A 27,104-nucleotide genomic window follows, 5' to 3' on the forward strand; every position below is an offset into this window, starting at 1 on the left:
ACTAATTGTCTTCAATATAATTCAAAAGAAGAAACCGTCAAAAGAAAACAGATTTTTTTTCATATTTAGTTACTATAATCTCTCACCCACTCCTTTTTTCTCACTGAAACATCCAGTCACAGTTATTTTAAAGCATATTCTTCAGCCTTAATCTGTATCCCAGCACTTTTCAAAGAGGAATTCTGTAGCTCTGTCCCAAGGCTCGGCACGCCTGGTGGATTTAGTCCAGTCTCGGTGGGATAGTCTTTAACCGAGCTGGTGGAATTCGGAGCTTTTGCATAAGACTTTAAATTCAAGTTGGCAAGAAATGTTCACTCTAAACTGATATTTGAATCAGACTTTCCAAAATTATTATTCTCTTAAAAAATAACTTTACAAAATAAGAAATGCATACAAAACGTAGAATCTTCACTCTTTATTTTCAGTATTTAGAACAACCTTTTGCCAAAAACTATGTCAAGTACAGGAACACTTATTAGCGAGAGGGCTATTTACCCTTAGACAATATCTGAAACTTGAATACCTACAATGTTGACCGAAGGGTTATTTAAAATGCAGAGGGAGAGAAAGATAAATAGAACATGGCAGAACGGAGGAAATTCAGCAGTGTGTGCCTGTCTTCATTTATTAAAATTTTGGTGCTGTGAAGTTATATCTTTTAAATTCATTAAATGTTGTCTATGGCCGGTCTGTATGGCCTGACATCCAAAATAAAGCCGCGAGGGATGCATGGAGTTCATATGTTCAGAGAACCAGCAGGGCAAGATTTTATCACTTTTTTCATTCAATAAGTTTGGTATCAAGAAAAAAGTAGAAGATTAACAATAAAGAAGAAACACACAAGCAATTGATCATGGTACCCATGCACAGATTCAAGATTTCTGCTCCTGAAGCTGATGTATACAGGAGGCCAGTATCTGAAGATGACTAAGTTCTTCTAGGTCTATTGCATTGCTATTTACATTTTGAAATCTGAGAAGCCTAGAGAGGAGAGGCTCTGCTTCATGTTTCTACTGTTAATCACATCTGTAAGTTCAATCCTCCGTGGATTTTCTTCTCTCTCACATATATGGTTCACTCTCTCCTTCAACTATAGCTTCTACTCTCTTAATTATATTTAAGCTCATGTCACTCCATTCATTGAAAACAAAAACAAGAAAAAGCCAAAACGTTTTCTAAATTCCTTTAGGCTATAACAGAGACTGATAAAATTGAAGGCTTGGAACATGAGCGATGGAGCAGCTGAGGAACACGTGTAGGAAGGTGGTTTTCCACCCTATGTCCTTTAGTAGCTTCTGAACCGTGTGAAGGTACTGCTTATTCAAGAACTAAGCAAGTATTTTTATGTGCAGATTCTTGGACCCCACCCTAGATCTATTAAAACAGAATCTCCAAGGTGGGGCCCTGGAGTCTGCATTTTAACAACCTCTCGGTGTGAATGTGACGCATACATAGGGAAGCAAAAAGATGCTACAGAATATAAACACAGATGGCCCAGGACTGACAGGGCCCCATGTGTCAGTGAGTACAAAGAATGCTGAAAAACCACCTGCTGCACAAGGGGCCTCCCTCACCAGCCTGCTCTGATGCCTGAGATTCTTTAGTTAGACATTCTGTCTTCAGTATGTTCTTGTACCAGTGTGATGCTGAAGGATTGAAGAGAGAAATCTTGCCTTCATCAAACTCACCCTTCAATCTACTTTTCCAGAGCTGTCTAATCAGCACAAAATCTTCTAAAACACAGGCTATTCACACTTCTATGACTTCACCATCCTCACGTGATGGCACAGTTTGGTGTCCCTGCCCCAATCTCATGTCAAATTGTAATGCCCAATGTTGGAGGCGGGGCCTGGTTGGAGGTGATTGGCTCATGGGGGTGGTTTCTCATGAGTGGGTTAGCACCATTCCCCTTGTGCATTCTAATCTTAGAGTTCTCACGAGATCTACTTGTTTAAAAAGTGTGTGGCACCTCCCTGCTCCCTTTCTTGCTCCTGCACCAGCCATGTGAAGTGCCTGCTTCCCCTTTGACTTCCACCATGATTGGAAGCTTCCTGAGGCCTCCCCAGAAGCAGATGTTGCTATGCTTCTGGTACAGCCTGTGAAACCATGAGCCAATTAAACCTCTTTTCTTTATAAATTACTCAGTCTCAGGTATTTCTTTATAGCAGTTGCAAGAACAGACTAATACACAGGCCCACCGCAATCTGTTCTGACACTGATACCTATCTAAAGTGATTTTCGTGAAAGTCACCAGTGATTCTTCAGTAGCCACATGCAGTAGCCTTTTGTCATTCCTGGGTCTACTAGCTTCATCCTTCTTCAAACTCTCTTTTCCCAGGAAGTGTATTGTATTCTGCTGTCCTGATTCTCCTCTTTCTTTAATGTGTCCTTCTTTATGCTCCCAGAACTCTCTGCCTCACTCCCTACAAGTTGTTCTTGGGCCCTCCTCTCTCTACTCCATACAGTCATCTCCTAGATAAGTGTTTCTCACTCTGTGGTCTCTCTCTTGAGATACAGACCTGCTTCCCCTGCTTCCCTGAGCATTTCCCCTGAAAGTCCTTTGTATCTACAGCTATAAAACTGAATGAACTCTGACCTACAATTTCAGTTCATGAACCCCCCATTGTCCTGGGCAGTGGATTCCATCTTTCCATTTGTTATTTTGTCCCTCCCCTCTCCCTCTCATCCTGACTCCAGATCTTTATAATTCTGTATGTTTATCCTCGGCAAAGTCTTTCCAATAATGATCTCCTTTCTATTCCTGCTTTCTATGGCAAGTTCAGCCATGTTACTTCTAAACTGGATTGCTATAACAATTGCCTTTTAACTCATCTGTCTCCATTGTTTCCTAATACTAATTTTGCTAAAAACAGCAAAACATAAAACATTATATTTATTTGGGTGCTCTTTGCCTTTTGTTTGTTGTTGTTAGTGAACATTTTAGAGCACCAATCAGATGCCAGGCACTTGTCTAAATATTTTACAAAATGAACTCATGTTAATTCATGACAACCTTATTTTAGGGATGAAGAAACTGAAATACCTAAAAGTGAAATGACTTTATTCAGGCCACATTACTATTCTGAGGTGGATCAAAGATTCAAAGCTAGGCAGGCTGAGTCCAGAACCATGTTCTCCATAACCCTGTTAACTCTCAGCATTAGTTTAATATACATCAGCACAGATTCATCCAATCACTTTATGATCAGAAATATTTTAATATATCTTCACTGAATACTGACATTTTTACAAATCTGTAATGCGAAACTTAAAGCTGGAATTTGATTTTCTCTCTATTTAATTCTATAGCCATTATTCTCCCATTATTCTCTTCCACACATACTAAACAGTCTTAACAATAAGCAATATAGATTATTTTCTGATTCCAAGAAGATAATTTAGTCACCTTCTTCACTGGCTTGAGCTTTCCTCAATACCTATCAAAATTTTAGCAGAAGTTGGTCGAATGGCCTAAAATTAGTCAGTGTTGGAAAAAGCAAAATTCAAATCAAAGGCAGCAGATACTACATTTGTCCACTTACCTGAAACAACTTGTAACCAGAAACATACCCAGGAAACAACGACATTTAAGACATTGAACATTAAACAACAAAGGAGAGTGATGACAGAGGATACAAACGAAGGGAGGGAGCTTATCTCCTGGACAAAGTTTCTAGGCTGAGCACAAGGAGGTGCCAGCCCAGGCTGAGCCTGAAAGACTTTATGGGTTGAGGGGACAAAACTGGAGTCTACAGATACTATGGGAGCTAGAGTTTGTAGGGTAGAGCATCACTGATCTATAGGACAACTTCAAGACTCCTAATAAAGTAAGACTGGAGTCCTCATGAAAAGAGGAGAGAGAAAGGAAAATAAAAACAATAATAACAAAGAAATAATGGCCCCAAACCTTTTAAATTGGATAAAAACTATATACTCATACATCTAAGAAGTTCAGCAAGCCACAAGGCCTAAAAAAAAATCATGAAGAAAACTATACAAAGTGTCAAAATCCAATTGCCCATTACCAGTGAAAAAGAAAAATTGTGAAAAGCTGCCAGAGAAAAGGGACACATTGTGACGTAGGGTCCAGAGGAACAAAGACGAGGATGACAGTAGATTTCTCATTGGAAATAATGTCACTCAGAAGACAATGGAACAGTGTTTTTAAAGTAATGAAAGAAAAACTACTTAAATTGCAAAAAATAATAAGCTAGAGCAAAAAGAATAACAATGTATTAAGGGGTTTGTAATATATGTAGAAGTAAATTGTGCTATAATAATAGAACAAAGATCAGGGTGAGATAAATGGAAGTAGATGGTTATAAGATTCTTATACTATACCTGAAGATTGTGATAAGTTAAAGATACTCACAAAAAATAAATTAACCACAAAAAATCATAACAGAGAGTTATAGCTTATAAGCCAAAAAGGAGATAAAACAGATTAATCAAAAACACGAAACTGATGCAAACTAAGGCAGGAAATGAGAGGAAACAAAAACAGATGAGGCAAATAGAAAGCAAAATTAATACAAAAGATTTAAATCCAATCATAACAATAACTACATTAAATATAAATGGTCTGGTTGGGTTCAGACCTGTAATCCCAGCACTTTGGGAGGCTGAGGTAGGCAGATCACTTGAGGTCAGGAGTTCAAGACCAGCCTGGCCAATATGGTGAAACCCTGTCTCTACTAAAAATAAAAAAATTAGCCAGGTGTGATGGTGCACATCTGTAGTCCCAGCTAATCAGGAGGCTGAGGCATGAGAATTGCTTGAACTTGGGAGGCAGAGGTTGCAGTGAGCCAAGATCACGCCACTGCACTCCAGCCTGCTGACAGAGCAAGGCTCTCTCTCAAAAAAAAAAAAAAAAAAGTATATACATATATATATATTTATAGACAGTACATATAAATATATATATATAATACACACACACATAGTGTCAACAGGTCAATTAAAAGAGTAATTGTTTAATTGGATTTAAAAAGTCAAGATCCAACTATAAGCTGCCTTCAAAAAAACCCACTTTAAATATAAAATCCAAGTAGGTTAAAATAAAAAGATAGAAAAAGATATGCTATACTAACACTATCAAAAGAAAGCTAAATTAACTGTATTAATATTGGACAAAGCAAAGAAAATTATTAGAAATTTAAGTCATTTTATATTTGATGAAAACTATAAACTCACACATTCAGGAAGATTAACAAACAAAAGGAACGTGAAGAACGCCGCAATTAGATACATCCCATTCAAATTGTCCAAAACCCAGGAAAAGAGCAGTTCTTAATTCCACATCAAAATCAACAAACGCATGCATCTGTAAAGACACATTTTTAAGCAGAAATGTGGAGGTACAGAGGCTTATAAAAGACACCAAGAGCTACCAATGGTCCAGTGCCAAAACAACAGGAAGAGTAGGGCCTGGGACAGGACCAGTAACCATGCGCCAAGCCACAGAGCTACATCTTTAATCCTGAATCCAATGTGTGACTATTGAAAAATTCTGTGCAAAGAAATGGCATGAAGAAATGTTAAAGGAAGAACATCTTTCTGGAAGTAGGTATATTTGGAATGGTAGAATGTGATACAGGAATAAGATAATAAAACAAAAGGTAGCAGTAGCTGGGAGTGAGGAGAAAAGGTTCAAAAGCCAGAGAGGAATGTGTCCCAGAAAAAAACTATTATAAGAACACAGTTATGATGAGCCTTATGACTAGTAAATTATTTTCTACGTTTTAGTGGTACAGTGACCATCTGGAGAGCAAGAAACACCTTTTTGTCTTCTTTCTCCAGCATCAGTGCAAAGCTTTCCATAAATGTTTTCAGGACAAATGAATAAACTAATCTGATCACAGATTCGTATTTTTATGTACTTTTTTAAGTTCAGAGACACTATTATTTATAATTCTAGAACTTTCTCATATACAGTTTCTGGGGAAAAGATATACCCAATCTAATGTTAGTTATATCTTTTCTCAAATGTTGCTCAAATATGTTGAATATAAAATTACAACAAAATAATAAATTAGCATGACTCAAGAATAAAGCCATTGGGTTCTGTCATGTCTTTCGAAAACAGTCTCATGATTGTATTGTTTCCCTGAGAAATAGTCTTACTTCCCTAGTTAACAAGAAAATACACACACCTTAGAGAGAGCAAAGAGCAGGAGAAAAGAAAAAGAGAAAAAACTTTTTTAGGAATTATAATTTCAGACTAAAAATTAATGAACGCTAACATTCCCATCCTTTTCATTGAATTTCCTTTCATCTCTACTAATATTGAATATCATTTTAAAAAATGAAGCTTCAATAGATCACAGGGTCTGGATTTAAAACCCAGTTTTGAGTTAATTAGGTGGTCTTGGTTACTCCCTTAGGCTCAGTTTTCCTGACTGTAAAATGGGAGTGTACTGGACATAAGTTATACCTGACTCCAAGTATTCTCAGCCTCACCTCTTACTCCAGCCATGGCTGAAGAGAACAGTTAGGCCCAGCTCTCATCAGCTCTAAAGAGGGACAGGCAACAGCATCTCATTCCAGGCCTGTGCCAAGGGGTCTCCAGCTCCTCGGTGTGGTGCCCATGGGAACACAGACAGGTTCAAAGGGGATGAGTGGGGCCGTTAGCATCCCTTCGCCTCACCTGACAGGAGTGTACAAGGCTATAGATGAACATTTCTCCTACGTCCAGCCTCGGAGACAGTTCCTGGATCTATTTCTGAAGCCTTTTCAAAAGCCCCTTGTCCAGAGTGGACAACTTCAAAATGCACCCTCGCGCTGGCTTTCCCTCCGCCCCTGTTTCACTTCCAATCCTTTTCTCTCTCTCTGATGATTTGCCACAGGCTTTGCTTTTGAACTCATCTGAGCTAAGGCAGGCAATAAGAACGCTGCTAGCCCCACAGGGTAGGAAAGGGATAAAATGAGATGATTTATGTAAATAGAGTGCTTAGGATTTGAGAGGCGTTGCACTACGCTTTGCATAACCTAACACTTTAAGCCCTGTGCGGTCGGTACTACTCTCTTTGTTACAGAGAAGAAAACTGAGGCACAGAGAGGGAAGGCACATTGGACAGGATCACACAGCTAACAAGTGACCTCTGAGCCACACTGCATCCTATACTGTCAACCACTAAAGCACACAGTAGGTGCCTTAACCTTTTTAAGGTGCTATTTCAAACTTAACATTGGCTTTGAAGGTTGGGAAACTATAAGGGACAAGGAGGAATAAAGTGCAGTCGGCATCATAAATCTGCCTCTGTGATCAGCTGTTATTCAAGTTGGCTTTGATCTCTAAAAGATGAGACGTAAAGATGGGCTATGTTCTGTACGTACACACAGGGAGAACCCCACTGGCATGTAAAAATCGTAGAAGACGAAATTGATTTAGATGCTAAGTTTTCCTGCTTAAATTCCACTTATCCTATTGACTTTAAACATAGCCTTTTGCTTTAAATGTAGATTTTTCCCATTATCTATTCCCTCAGGGCAATTCTTGTTAACAGATATCTATCTAGCTCTTGCATACTGAAGCTTGATGTCCAAAATCCCCTTATCAAATGAGATTACAGTCTTTTTTTTCCAATTTAAAGGCAACCTGATATCCAGGTACAAGAAATAAAGATAGAGCCAGGCAACCAAAACTCGTGGCCACAGATCCTCACTGTGTAAGCAAGATACTGTTCTGACGTGAATGAAGATAAGAAAAGCTTCTGAGGTGGGAGGACTGCAGCCCCACCAGCCTTCCCTTCGGAAACTCTCAGCCCAGTGATCACTCAGGAGCCCCAAGTACCTACAACTGGCTGTTAACAAACCCCAGGAGGAAGAAAAAGAGGGGTTGGGAGTGAATCCATTTTAATATCAGTCTTCTTTCAGTTTCAGAATCAAAACATCAAGCTGTCACTTTAGAATGAACAGGATTTGTGAAGCTGAGCTCAGGAGTTTGCCGAATCTCAGACCACGCTCAGGTCTAGCCAGGGCTGGCAGACACACATTTACTTTCTGGGATCTGTATGAGCTCTAATTTAAGAAAAAAAAAAAAAGTTACATTAAAAAAGAAATACATTGCATTTCCTCTTAAGAGAAGCCAATCAGAATAACAAAAATTTGATTTCATCATAGGCCTTTAAAGTTATCACCCAAGACCATAAAAATTTAACACTGGGTAAAGAAAAACAGAGACTCACGGAGGATATGTAGTCAGCGTTGAGTTTATAGGAGTTCTCAAGTAAAAATGCTGCTTTTGATGTGTAAAAGGAGATGTCCTATAAAATAGTTGGCATTCAGAGTCAAGGAAAATAGCAAGGGTTTTTGTAACTATAAATAAGGCTTATTTTATTTTTTAGAAGGCTGGTTGGTCTCATACATCTTGTGGATACAACAGACTATTTTGGCCTTTCCTGGCCACCTCCCAGCCCTGACTTCAGAAGAAGCTTGAAGACACTGGGAAATTTCTGAGCAACGTACTGAGCCATACAAATCCAACCACCAATCTCAATAAAAGGGCTGTTTCTTAAAGACCGTACCACTCCTTAAAAACTGCACCAATTTTATTGAGGTAAAAAAATCCTCTAAGTATTATAGGAATAGCTAAGAATGCAAATTAATCCACCTGAGTGAAGAACTACTGCCCTGTCAGCAGGAAAAGCAATTTTCTAAATAAAGCCCAGTGAATCTGGTCATGACCTGGACATTACTTTTCAGTTCATTTTCATAGAAAAATGATCAAAATTTCAACTTAAATGTTATTTGCAGCTGCTATTGCTTGCCATTTCCTGAAATCTGGAATTCCACTTTTTTGGAAAAGATAATTTTTGAGGGATCATTTTTCAGAAGTTTCTGGTATATCCCCCCTTGGAAATTTCTTTGTGATACCAATAAAATACTACCAGATAACTCAGAAGTGACACCATCAATATATGTTTATCCCTGGAAGAAATATATACATCAAAGCTTAAAAATACAACTAAAAATTATCAAACATTAACAATAAATTTGATTGTAAACACATTTCAATTTACCTCAAGCTTGAGAAACATTTTGTAGAATCTATTTATGCAACAAATACATTCATAATTACCATGACTTTCATTGAAAATCTGAGAAAACCTTACAAACTCTATTTTTGTTTTACAAAATAAACCAAACCAAACCAAAATTTCTTATAATTTACTTAATTCTTTACTGATAGCTGAAAGAAGAAAGTATGTTAACTAAAACACTTCTAGTGGACCCACCTAATAATTTTCACCACATCGTTGCTATTTTCATTTAATTCATGGGGAAAATCAACTTAGAATGAAAGGTTAGTCACTTACGAGGTCTGAACTGTTCCAACATCATCAGCGTGTCATTACTTTCAGGTAAAACAATTACTTTGAACACAGGTTCTAAACCTTATTTACAATAAATGAAGGCAATGACATTTGCATTCAGCTTGCTTTCAGGTAGTTCTGTGAACAGGTCAAATGCAATAGAATGCAATGACCTTATTTTATAAAATAAGCCTAATTGATAACCAGAGACTCTGTCCTAGCCCCAACTTAAGAAGTTACTTTGTAAAATTAGTATATATACAATGATATGTTTTAAAATAATGAATTAAGTTTCACACATAAAGAGTATTGACCTTATTACTTTTGTCAAGAAAAACGGATAATTATGTGATAAAATGGATAATTTTGTCAAGAAAAATGGATAATTATGTGATAAAAATGTCACACATAAAAAGAGTAAAGACCGTATTACTTTTGTCAAGAAAAATGGATAATTATGAACCTTCTATAGAAATATCCATGATATCTGCTCCAATCAAACCACTTAAATCCACTTTGCAGTGGCATATGAAAATGAAGCCTAGCATGAACTGCAGCTCTGCACACCAGGAATGGCAACCAAGAAGCAAGCCAACAAAAATATCAAGTTGCCCAAGAATCTTAATTCTTACATCTTCTTTATAAAAGTCTTGTATTTGATTAAAAAGATTAAAATTGCAAATATTTTTTGTTTTATCTAAACTCTAGCTTTAAGAAATACTAAAAATAAGAGTAATGAAAAAACTAGTATCAAAAATATTCAGATATGGGCCAGGCACAGTGTAATCCAGTACTTTGGGAGGCTGAGGTGGGCAGATCACTTGAGGTCAGCAGTTCGAGACTAGCCTGGCCAACATGGTGAAACCCTGTCTCTGCTAAAAATACAAAAATTACCCAGGTGTGGTGGTGCATGCCTGTAGTCTCAGCTACTAGAGAGGCTTAGGCAGGAGAATCACTTGAACCTGGGAGGCGGAGTTTGCGTGAGCAGAGATCACCACTGCACTCCAGCCTGGGCGACAGAGCAAGACTCCATCTCCAGACAAACGAAAAAACAGTTCAGATCTAAATTCTGAGCTCATTTGAAAGCATAAGCTAATTATTGACTTAGGAAAGTTCATACCCAGATTTAATAAGTTGTTGTTTTATGTCTTTTGTTGAAAGGCAATTAAATCTCACATACAAGTAGTGAAAGAGTGAGCTGAAGCAAAATCAAAATTGTAAAAAATAACACAGAGTTTGATAAAAGGATGAAATAGGTCAGTTTCATTGAAACCATATTGATAGCAGATTTGGTTCAAATTTAGTTTTTTTCTTACCTAATTTTTAAAAAATGTTAATCTTCATCTTAGCAAGTCTAACATCAAATGTCTTTTGACAACTGTACAGGAGTTTGCACAATTTATTTAAAAATTCAGAAGTGGAGAATATTAACTTTATATTTAAAATGCTTAAACTTAAAAGTTGGTCAATAAATAAACAGCATAATATCAAATAAGAAATAAAAGGGTCATATTTTATTTTAATTTCAAAGTCCTTGTAGTTCCCTAGGACATGAAAAATTTTAGTCTGAATCTCAAGTATTCTTTCTAAAATTAATTATTTAAGGCTTTTCAATAATCTATAGTAGTAAAGAATCAAAGAGGAATATGGTTTTTAGTCTTTAAGAACTCTTACTCTAGAAAAAAAAATCCAGTCCCACTTCCCACAAATGCCAACACTGCAGTTGTAACAGAGCTTGTCAGGTAAAATTAATAGTGTCATTGCATTATTTTCTCATTGGAATGGGCACAAATGAGCAAAATAAGAGCCTAGAAAACAATAATAAGATAAATCTGGCACTACTGATTGATTCTGGCTTCTATTAATTTTTATGTCTCAGAGTAAGAAACAAGCGCACGTTTAGTTTCTGACAAAAATACATTTTTTATTGCTTTCTCTATTATTCATCAAATTAGAGCACCAGACTTGATATCTGTGAAAAGTTAAGCCAATCAATTTCTTGGAAATAGACAGGAGATGTTTATTTTTAAGAGCTATTTACCAAGCTAAACATTTTAAGAACTGATGATACCTTTCTTTTTGGATTATTTATTTTTGAATCATGTGAAGAATTTCAACATGTAATACTGTTAATGTCAATTAATTAAGTAATTTCAAGTAAGTCATTCTTATTTTTAAAGTTCCCTAAAGGAGTTTTATTTCCCTCTAGTAATTGTGAAATATTTGGATAAACACTTGCTGTGTGAATTTGAGTGTCTTTCTTTCACTGCCTTAACACTATATCAAGTAATTAGTCCACAGGACTAATTACAAGCATACAGATACTGTTGTTATTAAACTTGTTCACACAGATTAAAATAAGAATGGATCTTAGCGTTGTACAGTGCACAACTTACCCAAGGGTATATGGCAGACCTGTTTAGTGGTATAGGTAGTCATTTTACGATTATTTTTTTAAGCAAAATCATTATGCTATGACTAAGTCCCTTTTTGCCAGATCCATACTTTAGATAGGTTACCTATATTGTTACTGCCACAAAAGAGACCATAGGGCTCATAGCAACAGAGGCAGAATAAACGCCTCAGTGAGATTCCAAGAGCATTAGTCATTTGACAGCTTCTTCTTGTTCACAAAAAAGCAAGGGCAAGCTCAATCTTTCTGATGAACTGAAGGACAGGCGCAGACAAAAGGCTGATACTAGAGTCTGATATTTAAGAACAAATGACAACTCTTAAAATGTGCTCTAGCTCTGAAATGCACAAGAAAATATGAAAGTCATTTTCAAAGCCCATTCCTTGATGTTTCTTTTAAAAAAGAAACATCATCTCTGGAGCTTTTGATTAAAGAAGGGTGTAATCACTCTTTTTAATTCACTCTGATTTCACCTCAAAAGGGACGCTCAAGTTCTCTTTATCCCAGTTTGGCTCTTACTTCAAACCAAAGATTTTTTTAAAAAGTTATCACAGTTTGAAGGCTCTTCCCAAATGCTTGGAACTTCGGGGATATTTACACATACTAAACTATACTTTTTAAAAAAGAAATTGATGGTCCTTATCTGCCAGAGACTAAGTCAGAAGCATTTTAGTTTAAATACTGTAGCATAGATCATGGGACATAACCCAGGCATGGAATATATATACTTCAAAACTATCCCTGCTGTTTCTCTGCATTCGCTAATATCTCTACGGCAAACATGCCATGCTTTCTAAAATAATAAGGAAAATTGCCTTTATTTTTTTTTAAAAGAATATGTCATATATTGTGCTTGAAGATTAAAATCTGAGAATCAGCACCATTTCAGGTCCAAAGATGAGAGATCCTGCTTCCTACGGTGTAACTACAAGAAGAAGAAGAAAAAAAAATACCTCAGAAACCATTGTGTTAATTGATAAGTGCACGGCTCAATAAAAGAATGGGAAAGGGTTGAGAAGCAGGGGCAGCCAGGGCAGTTAACACTCAAAAGCTGGTGAGCCTGTCCAACTAATCTGCCTCGTTTGTTTTCACAGCTTTGCCCGGAACATTTGCAGGGATGGCCCGACACTCCCCGCAGAGCCTGAGAGCGAGTGGCGAGCCAAGATACCAGCGGCACAATGTTTCACCTGCGCTGCCAGATACTCAGACAGAGAAAACACACGACAGTTTGTCAAAACAGCCATCAGCGCGGCGCGCTCGTTTTTTCCCGCAGCCCCCGGTCCTGGCTGCCAATGTACACGGCCAGGTTTATCTAAGGGCTGGAGAGCTCCTCTCTTAAATTCCCGGCGAGGTGGGGATGATGTGGCACAGGAAGGGACCGGGAGCGCTCCCCGGGGAGCCCAGGCGCTACCTGGAAAGGGTTTGCTAGACCCATTAACCCAGGTTCCCACAGCCTTCAGTCTTAGTCAGCACCTGCACGGTGAAATGACTCAGACACAAGGAAACCATCAGGATCAAGAGGGGCTCTGAGCTTCACGGGGAAGCTGGGCTTTTTAACCCCCTTTCCCCCACCATTGCCTGACTCATATGATTTAAAAAAAAAAAAATACAGCGTGCAATAAAACCTGAGGCAGAATCGGTCTGCCTTTGTCTTCCCTTTGTTATCGTGCAAAGCAAGCATCAGGGTTGCCTTTGTTGGCTTTCCAATTCGTTGCCAGCAGAAGCCCATGTGATAAGAACTTTTTGATTAAGCTCTAAATCTTTGGCACATATCTGCAATGCCTAATTATGAAAGATCTAATAATATGTTCCTTGTGTTTCTCTGACAACCACATGCATCTCCATTCAGCATCCCTGACGCTATTGGAAGTAGAGAAAGATACTGACACTACAAATGATTGCACAGAGAGGAGGGGGCATTCCTTAAACCTACACAGAACGGAGGCTGATGTCTTCATTAGACACATACCTAGCAGAAGACAAAACAGATTATACACAAAAACAGTTCGTTTAAAGTCAATTTTTGTCAGGAAAAAAAAATTGTGTTGCTTGGCAATTAAAACAAGTAGAATAAGATACTTTTTAATTAACATCTTCAAGTGGTAGAGGATGTTCAAATGTTGCTACTGTAGAACTTTCTGCCTCATCCTCTGTCTTTTTTAGATTATATATTTCTAAAAATACATTAGGTGACAGTTTAACAGGCAGGAGAAAGTATATTGGTTTTCTATACATATGGAAATGAGCTCTCTCAGGCAATAACTGGAACAATTGTGGCAAAATCTGTATCAAAGGCAGTGGAAGCTGGGCAACGCTCCCTTCCTATGATCGGTGTGTGAGCCCTGACTTAATGAGCTCCTACTAGAGGTGCTACCTTGAACAAACAGTGCTTGGTCACCTCCATGCCCCACCCTACAGGCTGCCTGAAAAGTACATAAAGGGAGGCTTCTTAGAAGTGAGATTTACCAACTACATTTGACATTTGATCAAAACGTATGCATTTGCCTCCCTGAAACAGAAGTGAAAAATACCAAAACGCTGTCACCGTACCAGGGGGTTTCAGTCTCAGCCTTCTGGGAAAACAATCAGGCAATTCTGTTCCCTGACATGCTTTAAAATATACTTTTTAGAAAATAATCATGGATTCTTACACAGAATCAATAGGGTGCCCATGAAACCATTTTAGTCACACTCTCTGATTCACAAGACTGAAAAATGGGATCAATTATGGCAAGTAAATGGGTGGAGAGGGGGTTCTCTCGCCATTGAGCTGAGACCTCCCTGGCAGCTTCTCACCTGGGAAACTCAGAGCCATCTTCACTTACATCCCAAAAGATATGCAATACGCATTATTTCTGAATTTTTAGAACAAAAGATTAAACAATAGATAGAGGAAGTCATCAGGCTCCATTTTCCAAATGTCAAAGTCATTCTGCAACTGCTTTTCCTAGCTCACCACAAACCTCATGGTTGTATCTCTTTGTCTTTTGGACTCGGATTCTTCAAGCACTCGAATCCTATGATCCTGTTGTTTCCCCTTTTCTGGCCTTTCACTGATTTAGCTCATTGAGACCTGACGATATCACATTAGTAGATTTCTTGTTATTTTTTCTGGATTGAACAAATAGTTGTATGTTATTTATATGTTGTCATCAGGCCTGAACTTTGCTTGAAAAAATTAGATGTCTCATTTTTCTCTAGATGTGTTAACTGTTTCTAGCAAAAAGCAACCTTTAAATCCAGAAAACTTTTCCCAAGTTAATGCATCACCAGAAAGTGAAAAAGTTTCCCTTTTCCCTGGTGATCACAGTCGATTAATCGCAGACTCCTGGCGTCCACTGGCCCACCCAGTGTTTGTAGGGTCCCACGTAAGCAGAGCAGAAATCACTACCGCTGATCAAGGAGAGATGAACAGCATCACTAAACAGTGTTCAGAGACTTAGCAAATCATTAGCAATCTCCTCAGCCATGCAGCTAATCTCATCACTCAAATTTCTTGGTTGTTCTGTTTTTCTCTGCCAGATAACACTTTATCAGACTGAAATGGAACTTCCCTCTGATCAGGAATAGGGCATTCAACAAACTATATACATACCTTTGATAGCTTCCTTTTTGGAAAGTGAGGGAGTTTAATTGATAAAGTACCAAAAAAATGAAACTGGAGTCCTAAAGTCTAGACACAGTTTTAGCAGCCAAATTGTAAACCAATGGGCTTAGTTTTGACAATCATGTGAAACACAAAGAACTAGAAAAATTTGCTGTCATGGTCTTTCCTTAACCAAGCATGTAAAGCAAGAAAAAAAAAAAGAAAAAAATACAAATAGAAAGTGCTTACCAGCAATCTGGAAAGCACTTTTGAAACAATGTCTAAAAAATCAAAGTGTTTATTTAAATTTACATTTATTTAAAATAAAAAATTATGCATGGAATTTTAATTCTTGTGTTTGAGTTTTGCTCATCTTAAATTAGTTCTTATTTTTAGAAGATGCATATATTATATATATTATGCATTATATATATTCATATATATATTACATGTATATTCTTTAAGATCTCCTATTTCTCTCTCTTTTTTCTAATCTCTCTTTTTAACAAAGCAAGATACAGGTTGAGTATCCCTAATTCCAAAATTTGAAATCCAAAATGCTTCAAAATTCAAAATTTTCTGAGCACCAATACTCAAAGGAAAAGCTCACTAGAATATTTTAGATTTCAGATTTTCAGAGTAGGGTTGATCAGCTAAGTATAATGTAAATATTCTAAAAGTCCAAAAATTCCAAATTCTGAAACACTTCTGATGCCTTTTGGATAAGGGATACACAACCTGTGTACATAAGAGAACTAACAGAACACTCATAAATGTTACAAGCACCTGACGACTAAAAAAGACCGAGACCAGGGCTTACAACTACACTGATGAAAAAGTCACAAAAAAATTAACAGCCACTTTGGAAGATAGTTTGGTGGTTTCTTACAAAACAAAGCATACTCTTACCGTAAGAACCAGTAATTGTGAGCCTTAGTATTGACCCAAATGAGTTGAACTTATGTCCACACAAAACCTGAACATGAATGTTTTTAACAGTTCTATTTATAATTGCCAAAAGTGGAAGCGGCCAAGATGCCATGCAGTAGCGGAATGAATAAGCAAGCTGTAGTACATCCATACAATGGAATAATATTCAACAATAAGAATAAATGAGCTGTCAAGCCATGCAAAGACATGGAGATACTTTGAATGCATATTGCTGAGCAAAAGAAGCAAATCTGAAAAGTCTACATATTGTATATGATCCCAACTACATGATATTCTGGAAAAAGCAAAAAACTATTGAGACAGTTAAAAAAAAATCATTTTCCCAGGGCTCAGAAAGATAGGATAAGGAAAGAATGGGTGAAGTAGAGGGGACTTTTTAGGAAAGTGAAACTATTCTCTATAATACTGTACTGGTAGATACATGACATTATATATTTGTCAAAACCATGGAATGTACACTGCAAAGCCACAAAGCAAGACCACTAATGTAAACCACATATTTTAGCTAATAATAATGTATCACTATTGGCTCATCAATTGTACCAAACAACACACATTAATACAAGATGTTAATAATAGGGAAAATTGGAGTTGGGGGAGTGAGGGTGAATGTGGGGACCCTGCACTTTCTACTCAACTTTTCTGTAAACCCAAAACTGCTCTATACATAAAGTCTATTAATTTTTTAAAAATAATAGTCTTAAAAATGCATACTAATAATGGGTTAAAATGTCACTGAAAGTGTCTATGAGTGTCATTCCACAAATATGCCTTCGACAGCTTAGCGGTTTTTTTAGTATTTTTTGTTCTGATTGGATATTAGGGTAACCACTAATTATTTTCCTTCAATAAATTATTTAATGATTAGCATTAGGGAGATAAGTGATTCATATCCTAAAACTTATTTAGTTTTATGGTCTATAGAAGGAACACATATTTCAATATCCTACTTGCCTTTACTAGTCTAACCCCAGAAAATGAGATTTCTTCCACTTGCCCTTACTAAATCAGTTCAGCTTTGACAGCTTATTACTTTGTAGACACAACCTTACCAAGAATGCTCTTAACCCCATCATTCTATTCAATGATGAATTATCCATCACTCCAAGGCTGACCCCTCATTACCCTTAATCAGCATGTCCTGCACTGTCCAATCTGCTGCTAGAACATTAATAACAACCCAGGGCAGGAACTTCCAGTGGCCTTTACATGGAGGCCTGGGTCTGGCAGAGGGGCCCCAGGGGTTGCCACTTTGTGTTTGCCACTCCCAGCCACCATCCCAAGTTGGAAAGGTGCTCAAAACATATCCTACTTTCTATATTTTTCCATATTGAAGTTCCAAGTAAAATTTCTTTTGTTAAAAAAAAAAGACTTTGCTGCCAAAATGCTTTTTTGAAAAACCACTGATGTAGACCATATCATCTGCTTTATTATAATAAAATTAACTGAATTTCTCTTTAATTTGATGTTGAAACTGTTCATTCTGCTAGTAAGGGAAATTGCCTCTAAAACAAATAAACTGATAGCTAAAATTATAGCGAGTAGCTACCACCCAGCAAAAACGTAATGAGCAGATCGAAGCAGCAGATATTGACCTAGAAGAAGACTGAAGAGGTGGGAACCTGGAGCTTGGGAAGACAGGAGGATTTCCATGTAATTTAGATTAACTGGTGGCAGGGGAAAACATGTGCTTTGGTTAAATATGTCTTCCAAAAAGCATGTGTTGGAAACTTAATCCCCAGTGCAACAGTGTTGGGAGGTAGGGCCTAATGAGAGATGGTTAAGCTGTGAGGGCAGAATGAGTGGATAAATGCTGTTATCTCAAAGGGGGTTTGTTACTGAGGGAGTAGGATTTTTTTAAACAGGGGAGTTCAGCCCCCTTTCACACACACACTCTCTCCCTCTCTCCCGAACCTTTCCTTTCCACCATGGATGACTCAGCCAGAAGGCCCTCAGCAGATGCCAGCACCTCCACCTTGGACTTCACAGGCTCCAGAACCAAGAGAAATAAATTTCTGTTCATTACAAATTACCCAGTCCCAGGCATTCTATTATAGCAGCAAGAATAAACTAAGACACTGTGAACAAAGGGAACCTGTTAATATATTTATCCAACTCAATGAAAAGATTTTGCTGGACAGAATGACAATCTTCATCCCCTGCGAACACTTATATCAGCTACTTTTATTGATACAACCTGGGTATGCTGCCTGAAGACATGAGGCCCCTTCAGCCTCCTGGTAGCAAATATAGTGGCTCAAGCCTGCATGCCACATAACAGAAGAAGCAAAACACATGCCTGTGGACGTGGGCACATGCATCCCTAACAGAGACCACCTTTCTAGTTTATTTGGCAAATAAATACATTTTGTTTACTTTCCCTTTATTTCTTTGTTTTTCATCAGTTGTGAGTCAGTCCAATGAGGTGCTCCTCGGTCTGGCTCCTCTGCGAAATTGCTGGCCACACCTTCCTTCTTTCCACAAAACTAACACAAGGCTCTTCTGTGCACTAGAAAGGGCTTTTGTTGAAGACCTGGGATAACAGCAGGTAATTACTGCACAGGCAGGGAAAGACATATGATTGAAGGCACACTAAAAATGTATGTACCATCCCCCATCCCAGGGACCGCCTCACTGGCCAACTGCTGAGCTGCCACCAGCTCCCTGTAGTTCCAGGTCTCCTTTGCCATCCCTTGCTCTCTCATCTCCTTTTTAAGCCTGAGCTTCCTTCACAAAGTGACTGCAACAGGCTCAAAAATTCTAGGCACTTCATTCCATGTGCATATAAGCTCTCGCATTCTTACTATTCCTACTGGGTCAATTTGTTCCTCCAAAATTTAAGGCTAATAGTTCCTCATCATAGGGTTGTTGAAAGAAGTAAGTAATTTTTTTTTAATTTAGTGCTAACACTGAGTATTTTATATACTTTTTGAGCACAGTGTTTGCCACTCAATACCCAATAGCAATTGATACTACAATTATCTTTCTCATACAGGAGGTTGTGATAGACACGACTGTACACACCAACATTCAGTTCTTTCTGAATGTTACACGCCCACAGGCATGTGTTTCACTCCTTCTGTTATGTGGGATGCAGGCCTGAGCCACTGTATTTGCTATCAGAAGGCTGAAGGGGCTTCACATCTTCAGGCAGCATACCCAGGTTGTATCAATAAAAGTAACTGATATTAGTGTTCCCAGGGGATGAAGATTGTCATTCTGTCCAGCAAAATCTTTTCACTGAGTTGGATAAATATATTAACAGGTTCCCTTTGTTCACAGTGTCTTAGTTTATTTTTGCTGCTGTAACAGTCACTCATGATCTCACTTTTCCGATCCTTGCAATTAGGCAGGGCCACGAGTCTGGACCACGAGTCTGTCACATGGACAGAGAGAGCAAGTGATATGCAGCACTTCCAGCCAAAGCCCAGAAAAGCCGGTGTGACAGCTTCACACTCTCTGCTCCCTGCCATGACTGAGGGGCCTTGTGCTACTTTGGTGGTCCCTAAAATTGAGTCATCCCGGACTTCTGAGTCACCCTGGGGAGGACAGCTACCCTGATGCATCTTCTAGAACTGCACCAAGCGGAGAGTGAGGGAAAAATGCACAGGGTCATGTACACATCTGAGATGTTGGTGATTCTTATTGCTAATGCATGGCCTAGCCTAATCTGACTAGCAGGGACATCAGGGATGAGTTTTTGTGATGGACTGAATTGTGTCCCTTCCAAAACTCACAGGCTGAAGCCCCAATCCCCAAAGTGACTATTAGGATATTGGGCTTTGCTTTGCTTTTCTTTCTTTCTTTTTTTTTTTTTTTTTTTTTTGTTTTGAGATGGAGTTTTGTTCTTGTTGCCCAGGCTGGAGTGCAGTGGCACGATCTCGGCTCACTGCTACATCTGCTTCCTTGGTTCAAGCAATTCTTCTACCTCAGCCTCCCCAGTAACTGGCATTACAGGCACCCATCACTATATCTGGATAAGTATTTGTATTTTTAGTAGAGAAGGGGTTTCACCATGTTGCCCAGGTTGGTCTCAAACTTCTGACCTCAGGTGATCCACCCACCTTGGCCTCCCAAAGTGCTGGGATTACAGGTGTGAGCCACTGCACCCGGCTGATATTGGCCTTTTAAGGAGGTAATTAACACGAGGCCTTTAGACTGGGGCCTAATCCAGTAGGACTGCTGTTCTTCTACAAAAAGAAAGAGACACCAGGGATTCCCATAGAGAGAGAAAAGGCCCTTTGAGGACCCAGGGAGAAGGCGGCCATCTGCCAGCTAAAGAGAGAGGCGTCAGGAGAAACCAACCCTGCCAGCATCCTCATCTCAGACTTCCAGCCTCCAGAACAGTGGGAAACAAATTTCTGATATTTAAGTCACCTGGCCTGTGGTATTTTGTTCTGGCAGCATGGGCAGACTGATACAGCTCTCCGAAGGCTGGTAGTACCAGGCATCAGTCCGAGATGGACTAAAGCCCAGGAAAGAAAAATTTAGAGACCAAAAGGGGAAGCACTTTTCACATCGATAATATTGTAGGGCCCATAGTCTGACTAACAATAAACAAGGGAGATTTTTGTAAAATGCAGGACCCCCACCTGCCCCAGTCACTGGGCCACCCCACTCTACCTTTGGTCACCTCCTCTGCAGTTTGATTCAGCCTCTGACCCGAACACACTGGATAAACCTCCCTCCAGTCAAGACTTATCCTCCCATGGGAAAGCCTGTAAAGAGAGTCAGGAAAAGCAGCTACAAACAAAGATATTTTTATTTGGAAGAAGACAAAAGAGCTATGACTAATACTTTCTAGGATGTCTTGCCTCTTTAACCCTCTCCCTGTTTATTATTTGTGCTAATCCCGTCTGCTCCCCTGCAGTTATCCCCAGCCAGGACAGACCTCTGTGTCTTGTATTAGAGACCTTTGAGCAAAGAAGGAGGGAGTGTGTCTCCCACTCTGCTGCAGACTTGGAGAGAGAGGAATACAGAGAAGAAGGCAGTTAAGGAGAGAAGGATCGTCACATCCCTGAGGCCTTGGGGAGAAACAGATGAACAAAATTGGCCTCGGAGTTTTAAGAATGAGGACAGCCAGCCTGCATTGGGTTGTAGACCTAAAGTCTGACGGGAAATTACCTTGGAAGCAGAGAGCAAAAGAGGACAATTTCAGAAGTGATTATCTAAGCATTATACCTCTAGAAGATCTTGATAATAAATTATCAGAGGGAATTTAGTATAAAGTAGAGAAAAGCTAAAATTCTCAAGGAATTTGACATCATGTTAAAATGTACAAAGACCTGGAAAAATACTGAATTTTCTAATTAGGGTCTTCAAATAAGATAGGATTTGTTGAAAAAGAGATCTCTGAATCAACTGAAAAATAATTGATCTATCAAGCAGGCTTGCAGCAACAAAAGGCTCAATAACACAAGATCCATCTGAAGCATATGCAATGGAGAGGTCATTTCGAAGGTGTAGGCAGGGTTTGGGGAAACATCCAGGGGTGCTCAAACACCCAGGGATTAGCAAAGTCAGGGGAAGAGGTCAGCACCCTATCCCTGAAGGGATGAGGAGTGATATGGTTGGACTCTCTGTCCCCACCCACATCTCATCTTGTAGCTCCCATAATTCCCATGTGTTGTGGGAGGGACCCAGTGGGAGATAACTGAATCATGGGGGTGGGTATCTCCTATGCTCTTCTTGTGATAGTGAATAAGTCTCACGAGATCTGATGGTTTTAAAAATGGGAGTCTCCCACCACAAGTGCTCTCTCTTTGCCTGCAGGCATCCATGTAAGACGTGACTTGCTTGTCCTTGCCGTTCACCTTCCACCATGATTGTGAGGCCTCCCCAGCCATGTGGAGCTGTAAATCCAGTAAACCTCTTCTTTTGTAAATTGTCCAGCCTTGGGTATGCCTTTATCTGCAGCATGAAAATGGACTAATACAAGGGGAGAGTGTGGTCTTAGCAGAGTTTGACAAGAGCTGGACCAGGAAGACGGCTGGGGTTGGAGCTGGAGTGAGCGGGGCAAAAGGCAGCATCCACCAGAACTCTGGAGGCAACGAGGAAGCAAATGGAGTGAGACCCCCTCCTCCCTGCCCCTCCCATCCTCCAAAACCACCCAGTGTTCCCCATTGGTCAAAACCGCTGGGAGCCAGAGGGCAAGAGAGCCTGGTGCTTCGGTCCACAGAGTTTCAGCCTCGCAGAGCAAAGGGCAGGGCAAGAGGCCCAAAGAAGAGCAAGCACATCTCATCTTAAAACGTCAAGTAGTTTGGACTAGACAGACCCATATACCCTGACTTAACCAACAAAGAAAACATGTTATCTCATGGTTAAGGTCCCAAGATAGGCCTGATTCCTCTAGGAGCTCAGCAAAATCCACAGGAAACCATGCTCCTTCTCTCTCTCCCTGTACCTGGTGGCCTTGACCTCAGGCCAGCTGTGCTCCCCAGGACCTTGAGGTGGCCCTGCAGGTGGGGGCTCCCCACCCAGTGCAGGGAATAAATATGGGGTGTACTGTCTGTAGTGAATGTGGAAACAATAATAAAACCAGCTGAAACTCAGCTGTTGGTTATCCCCATGTGTCTGCAAAGCTGAACAATATCAGTGATAATAATACCCTCCCAGACAAAAACTTCCGTTCTACAAATTCTAAGCAATTACTTAGTAGTGTCAAGTTTTAGTAATATACATAAGCTTCAAATTAGCACATTTTATGACTTATCCTTTAATAAACAAAGTATCAGAGAAATCTTGGTTATGCTTGGCCCCTGGTATACCTGGAATCAGTACCACATGGCAGTTTCAACAGTAACTTCCTAAAAATTTGGAATTCTTTGAGTTCACTTCAGCCACAGCTCATGTCCCCAGTTCCCGGGGGAGGAAATATTCCAGCATTTAAACAGTGGCTTTGAAATAAGCTGTAAAAGCAACTGTGTAGATGACACAGTTAGAGATGCTTCAATTCTGTCAGTCTACTTGAAGATCCAGAGAAAGTTTAAAATCTTTGGCAGTGAAATAGTACAAACTAAAAGTGTAATATTTTTCTTTGGTAAGTGCAAACTTTAGTTCATACATGAACTATGTTACTGGTATTGAATACATTCTTTAAAATGGAAACTTCATTTTTAAATCGTTGCTTCACAACTAAAGAACAAATCAAGAAAATATGATTGTAAGTGATTATTATTATAGCAGAAAAATATGTGTCCAATGTACGTATGTGGGGGCAGGGAGGGGATGCTAAAATAGCTATGCCCCTCATGTCAAATACACCTACTATGCAGGGCTCAGCAAGTCAGGGTGGACCCTCCATGCCCCACAAGCTGCTGTAGGGTAGGCCACATCCTTATGAGGTCCTTCGTATCAGCAAAGTCTCCAAGAACTCCTGACCAACTTCCCTTGGGTCTCCTCCACTGTAGTTTGGCCTCACAGGTAAGGTGAGCAGCCCACCTGATTATCCCCAGGTGGGGACAAGCCCCATATCCCATGCCCCCACAGAATGGGGTGCTGCTTGCTGGTGAGGTGCTACTGGGGTGCAAGGGTGTTAGCTGCAGTCATTTTATACCATTTTTTTAACATGTATTCTAAATTTTATCTGATTTGCTGTTTATTATTTGCATATATTATTTTAAGTGACACATTGGTCCCAACCTGGATCTAGACTTGGAGAGGGAATATAGGTGACAAAGGATCTCTCCACTGGTGCCCAGAATTCAGCCTGGTCCTGGAGCTGCAGGGCTCAGGAGCACGTTCAGATGCACACAGGAGGCAGCCGCCCCCTGCTTGCCACCTTCTGCTCGTTGGTGTGGGGGACACAGTTCTGTTCCATCACAGGTGTTTGCTTTATAACAGGTAAGGGAAGACAAAACTTAAGAGGGCAAAAGGACTGCACCAGGTCCCCTACGAAACACCCCAAGTAACTCCCAGAAATAGGACTCTGGGATTTGGGAAGGGAGGGCTGTGAGATACCAGTGCCCCCTCTGTGGGGACACGAGTTTGCCAAGCCAAATCTTTACTATTCTTGAGACCTCCTTCATATCCCCAGGCTCATGAGGAGAACTCAGGGTACAGAGTAAAAGTACATCATATTTTTCATATTTGTTAGGAATGGAAAATCCTCCATCACAAGTAAGGTGAGCAGCCCACCTGATTGTCCCCAGGTGGGACGATTAATCTGAGTGACTGTCTTGGCCCATTTTCACACTGCTGATAAAGACATGCCCGAGACTGGGAAGAAAAAGAGGTTTAATTGGACTTACAGTTCCACATGGCTGGGGAGGCCTCAGAATCATGGAGGGCGGTGAAAGGCACTTCTTCCATGGCAGTGGCAAGAGAAAATGAAGATGCAAAAGCCGAAGCCCATGATAAACCATCTGATCTGGTGAGACTTATTCACTACCACAAGGACAGTTTGGGGGAACCGCCCACATGATTCAACTTAATTCAGGATGAGATTTGGGTGGGGACACAGCCAAACCGTATCAGTGACCTTAGGAAGGAAAGCCTTCATCCTTCATCTCTGGTAGCAGATGTGCTTTTTTTTTTTTTTTTTTTTTTTTTTTTTGAGACAGGGTCTCACTCTGTCGCCCAGGTTGGAGTGCAGTGGCATGATCTCAACTTACTGCAACATCTTCCTCCCAGGCCTAAGTGATTCTCTTGCCTCAGCCTCCTGAGTAGCTGGGATTACAGGCACCTGTCACTACCGCCCAGCGAATTTTTGTATTTTTAGTAGAGATGGGGTTTCACCATGTTGGCCAGGCTGGTCTCAAACTCCTGACTTCCAATAATCCACCTGCTTCAGCATCCCGAAGTGCTGGGATTACAGGCGTGAGCCACAGCGCCCGGCCATATGTGATTTTTGATTCAAACACTGAATGAGGTGCATCACTACCAATCGACAGTAATGCATTCACAGGGCAACTACAACTAAGGAAATGAGTACATCTGTCTGAATCTAAAATAGAAGGAAAAAAGAATTGAATTTTGGACAATTTTAGAGTTAAAAGAAAGTACTTAAACTATGTGGCATTTTCAAAAATGCATAGTTTAATGCAATTTATTCCATCTTATCTAGTGTATCTCTTTATAATCAAAAGATAGACGCTTAGGAATAACTTTGGACACATGTATCTGTTTGGAACAGATTGCATGACTAAAAAGAATGTCCCTAATCAGGTTCCGACAGGCAGTCAGTGGCCACTGGCCTTGGTTCAGCATCTGGGCTAGTGCCTCCCTAATTCCCTAGAATTTTCCTAATGACTGTTGCATCAGAATCACAAGACAGCTGCTCCACCTCCAGCCATCAAGTCCAAATGCCAACTAAGAATGAAGATGAAGGATGAAGGGCTTTCTCAAGGCTTTGCCTCACTGAGGGAGACAGAATTGCAAATATTTAGCTTTCTGGATTCTACAGGCCTTATTTCCTGAATTGGGAAAAACAAAAACCAAACCAAAAAAAATAACAACAACAAAAAAAGAAACAAATTCACATTTCTCCCCTTCCACTCCAACTCTTTCATACCTGGATAATTGACTTAATAGGTTCACTAGCAGAAACAAGAATAATTTTGAGCCATGAGCTGACCCAGTAACTTTTACATTTGGACCCTCTAGGCTTTGAGACATGAGTAGCCCCGGACTCAGGATGGGAGTCGATCCCTTGAGTCCACAGGATGTTTCAGACATGGTCCTGTCATCCGATGGCAGAGTCTGGATTTTGGAAGCCTGGTTTGGGGTTCTGGGTTCTGGTTTCATTTTGCACTAACTGAATTATACTGTAAGCCTCTGTTTGCTCTGCATGATTGAGGAACAACAGTCCATCATTATCCTATAGGAATATTGGGAGGTTCAAATAAAATATTCCAAAATGGTTGTGAAAACCTAAAAACATTATAGCAATATAAGTTACCATCATATCTTCCATGTTAAATTAATCCCAAAACAAGAAGATATAGGTAGGAGTACGTAGCTAGCTCACTGCTTCTCCTAGGGGCCTGTCTCAGTCAATCCCAATTTCCTTATAAAAACAAAAACAAAAACAAAAACACCAGTGTACAAATCCTCCCCTTTCTCTTCAAGTGTGCTTGTCACTTCCCGGACATGCCCTCTTCTGCTCATCTCTCTGAGTTATCTCTCCTCCCCTGCCTGGGTCTGACCCCGGGAAAATTTACCCTGCAGATGTAAAGCTTTGTTTTCATAAGCAAAACCACTGACTCCACATGGCTAGAAACAGCCTATACTTTCAGGACTGAGATATGCCATCTTTCACGTCTGAACAGGTTTAGTGAAACAATCAGTACTCGGTGCATCCGGAAACACACTCGCATATAGTAAGATAACTGCATTTACATCAGAATATCATGACTATTTGGTGAGATAAATATACTGTCAAATGTAATGACATCCTCCTCCCAGCTCTCTCATAAAGAAGTATTGAGAACACATAATTGCCCTCAAAAGATGTCTATTTTATGATAATCATTACCTAAATATTACACACCAGAGACTTGTACTGTTAAAGAGGGCTGGAATTACTTATGAAATATTAGCTTTTTACTTAAGCTCTTTGGACATAATTCATAAAAATTAATTCATGGTTTATAAGAATGATCTCTATTCTTTAATAGAATACTTCTGTAATTCATTAAATTATTTAATCCCATCACCCTGATCATTTCAATTTTAGTCCTTCATAAGGAAAAATAGACTAACTTTTAGTGAGGAGGAGAAACATTGATGTCAGCACCCAGGACCCACATCTCAAAAAATCATGAAGAAATGTACAGGGTATGGAGAAAAGAAAGGTGACACAGTCAACCCAAATAATGCTGCTTCTCAAATATATTTGTGA

At 39.6% G+C, this 27,104-nt stretch overlaps 1 long non-coding RNA gene across 1 annotated transcript in view, besides 1 other annotated feature; it reads right to left on the reverse strand.

The window, feature by feature from the left end:
• Positions 1-27,104, reverse strand: part of LOC107984626 (uncharacterized) — a 142,002-nt gene that overhangs the window by 104,357 nt on the left and 10,541 nt on the right. The gene's annotated exons all lie outside the window — the stretch shown is intronic.
• Positions 12,450-13,097: an enhancer, noted in NCBI's record as "H3K27ac-H3K4me1 hESC enhancer chr13:107001137-107001784 (GRCh37/hg19 assembly coordinates)". NCBI's record gives its function as "activates a minimal SCP1, AML or CMV promoter by ChIP-STARR-seq in primed H9 embryonic stem cells {active_cell/tissue: H9 hESC(primed)}" and the evidence as "EXISTENCE:reporter gene assay evidence [ECO:0000049][PMID:30033119]".

The sequence above is a fragment of the Homo sapiens genome, chromosome 13, assembly GCF_000001405.40.
Source record: "Homo sapiens chromosome 13, GRCh38.p14 Primary Assembly".
NCBI lineage: Eukaryota > Metazoa > Chordata > Mammalia > Primates > Hominidae > Homo > Homo sapiens.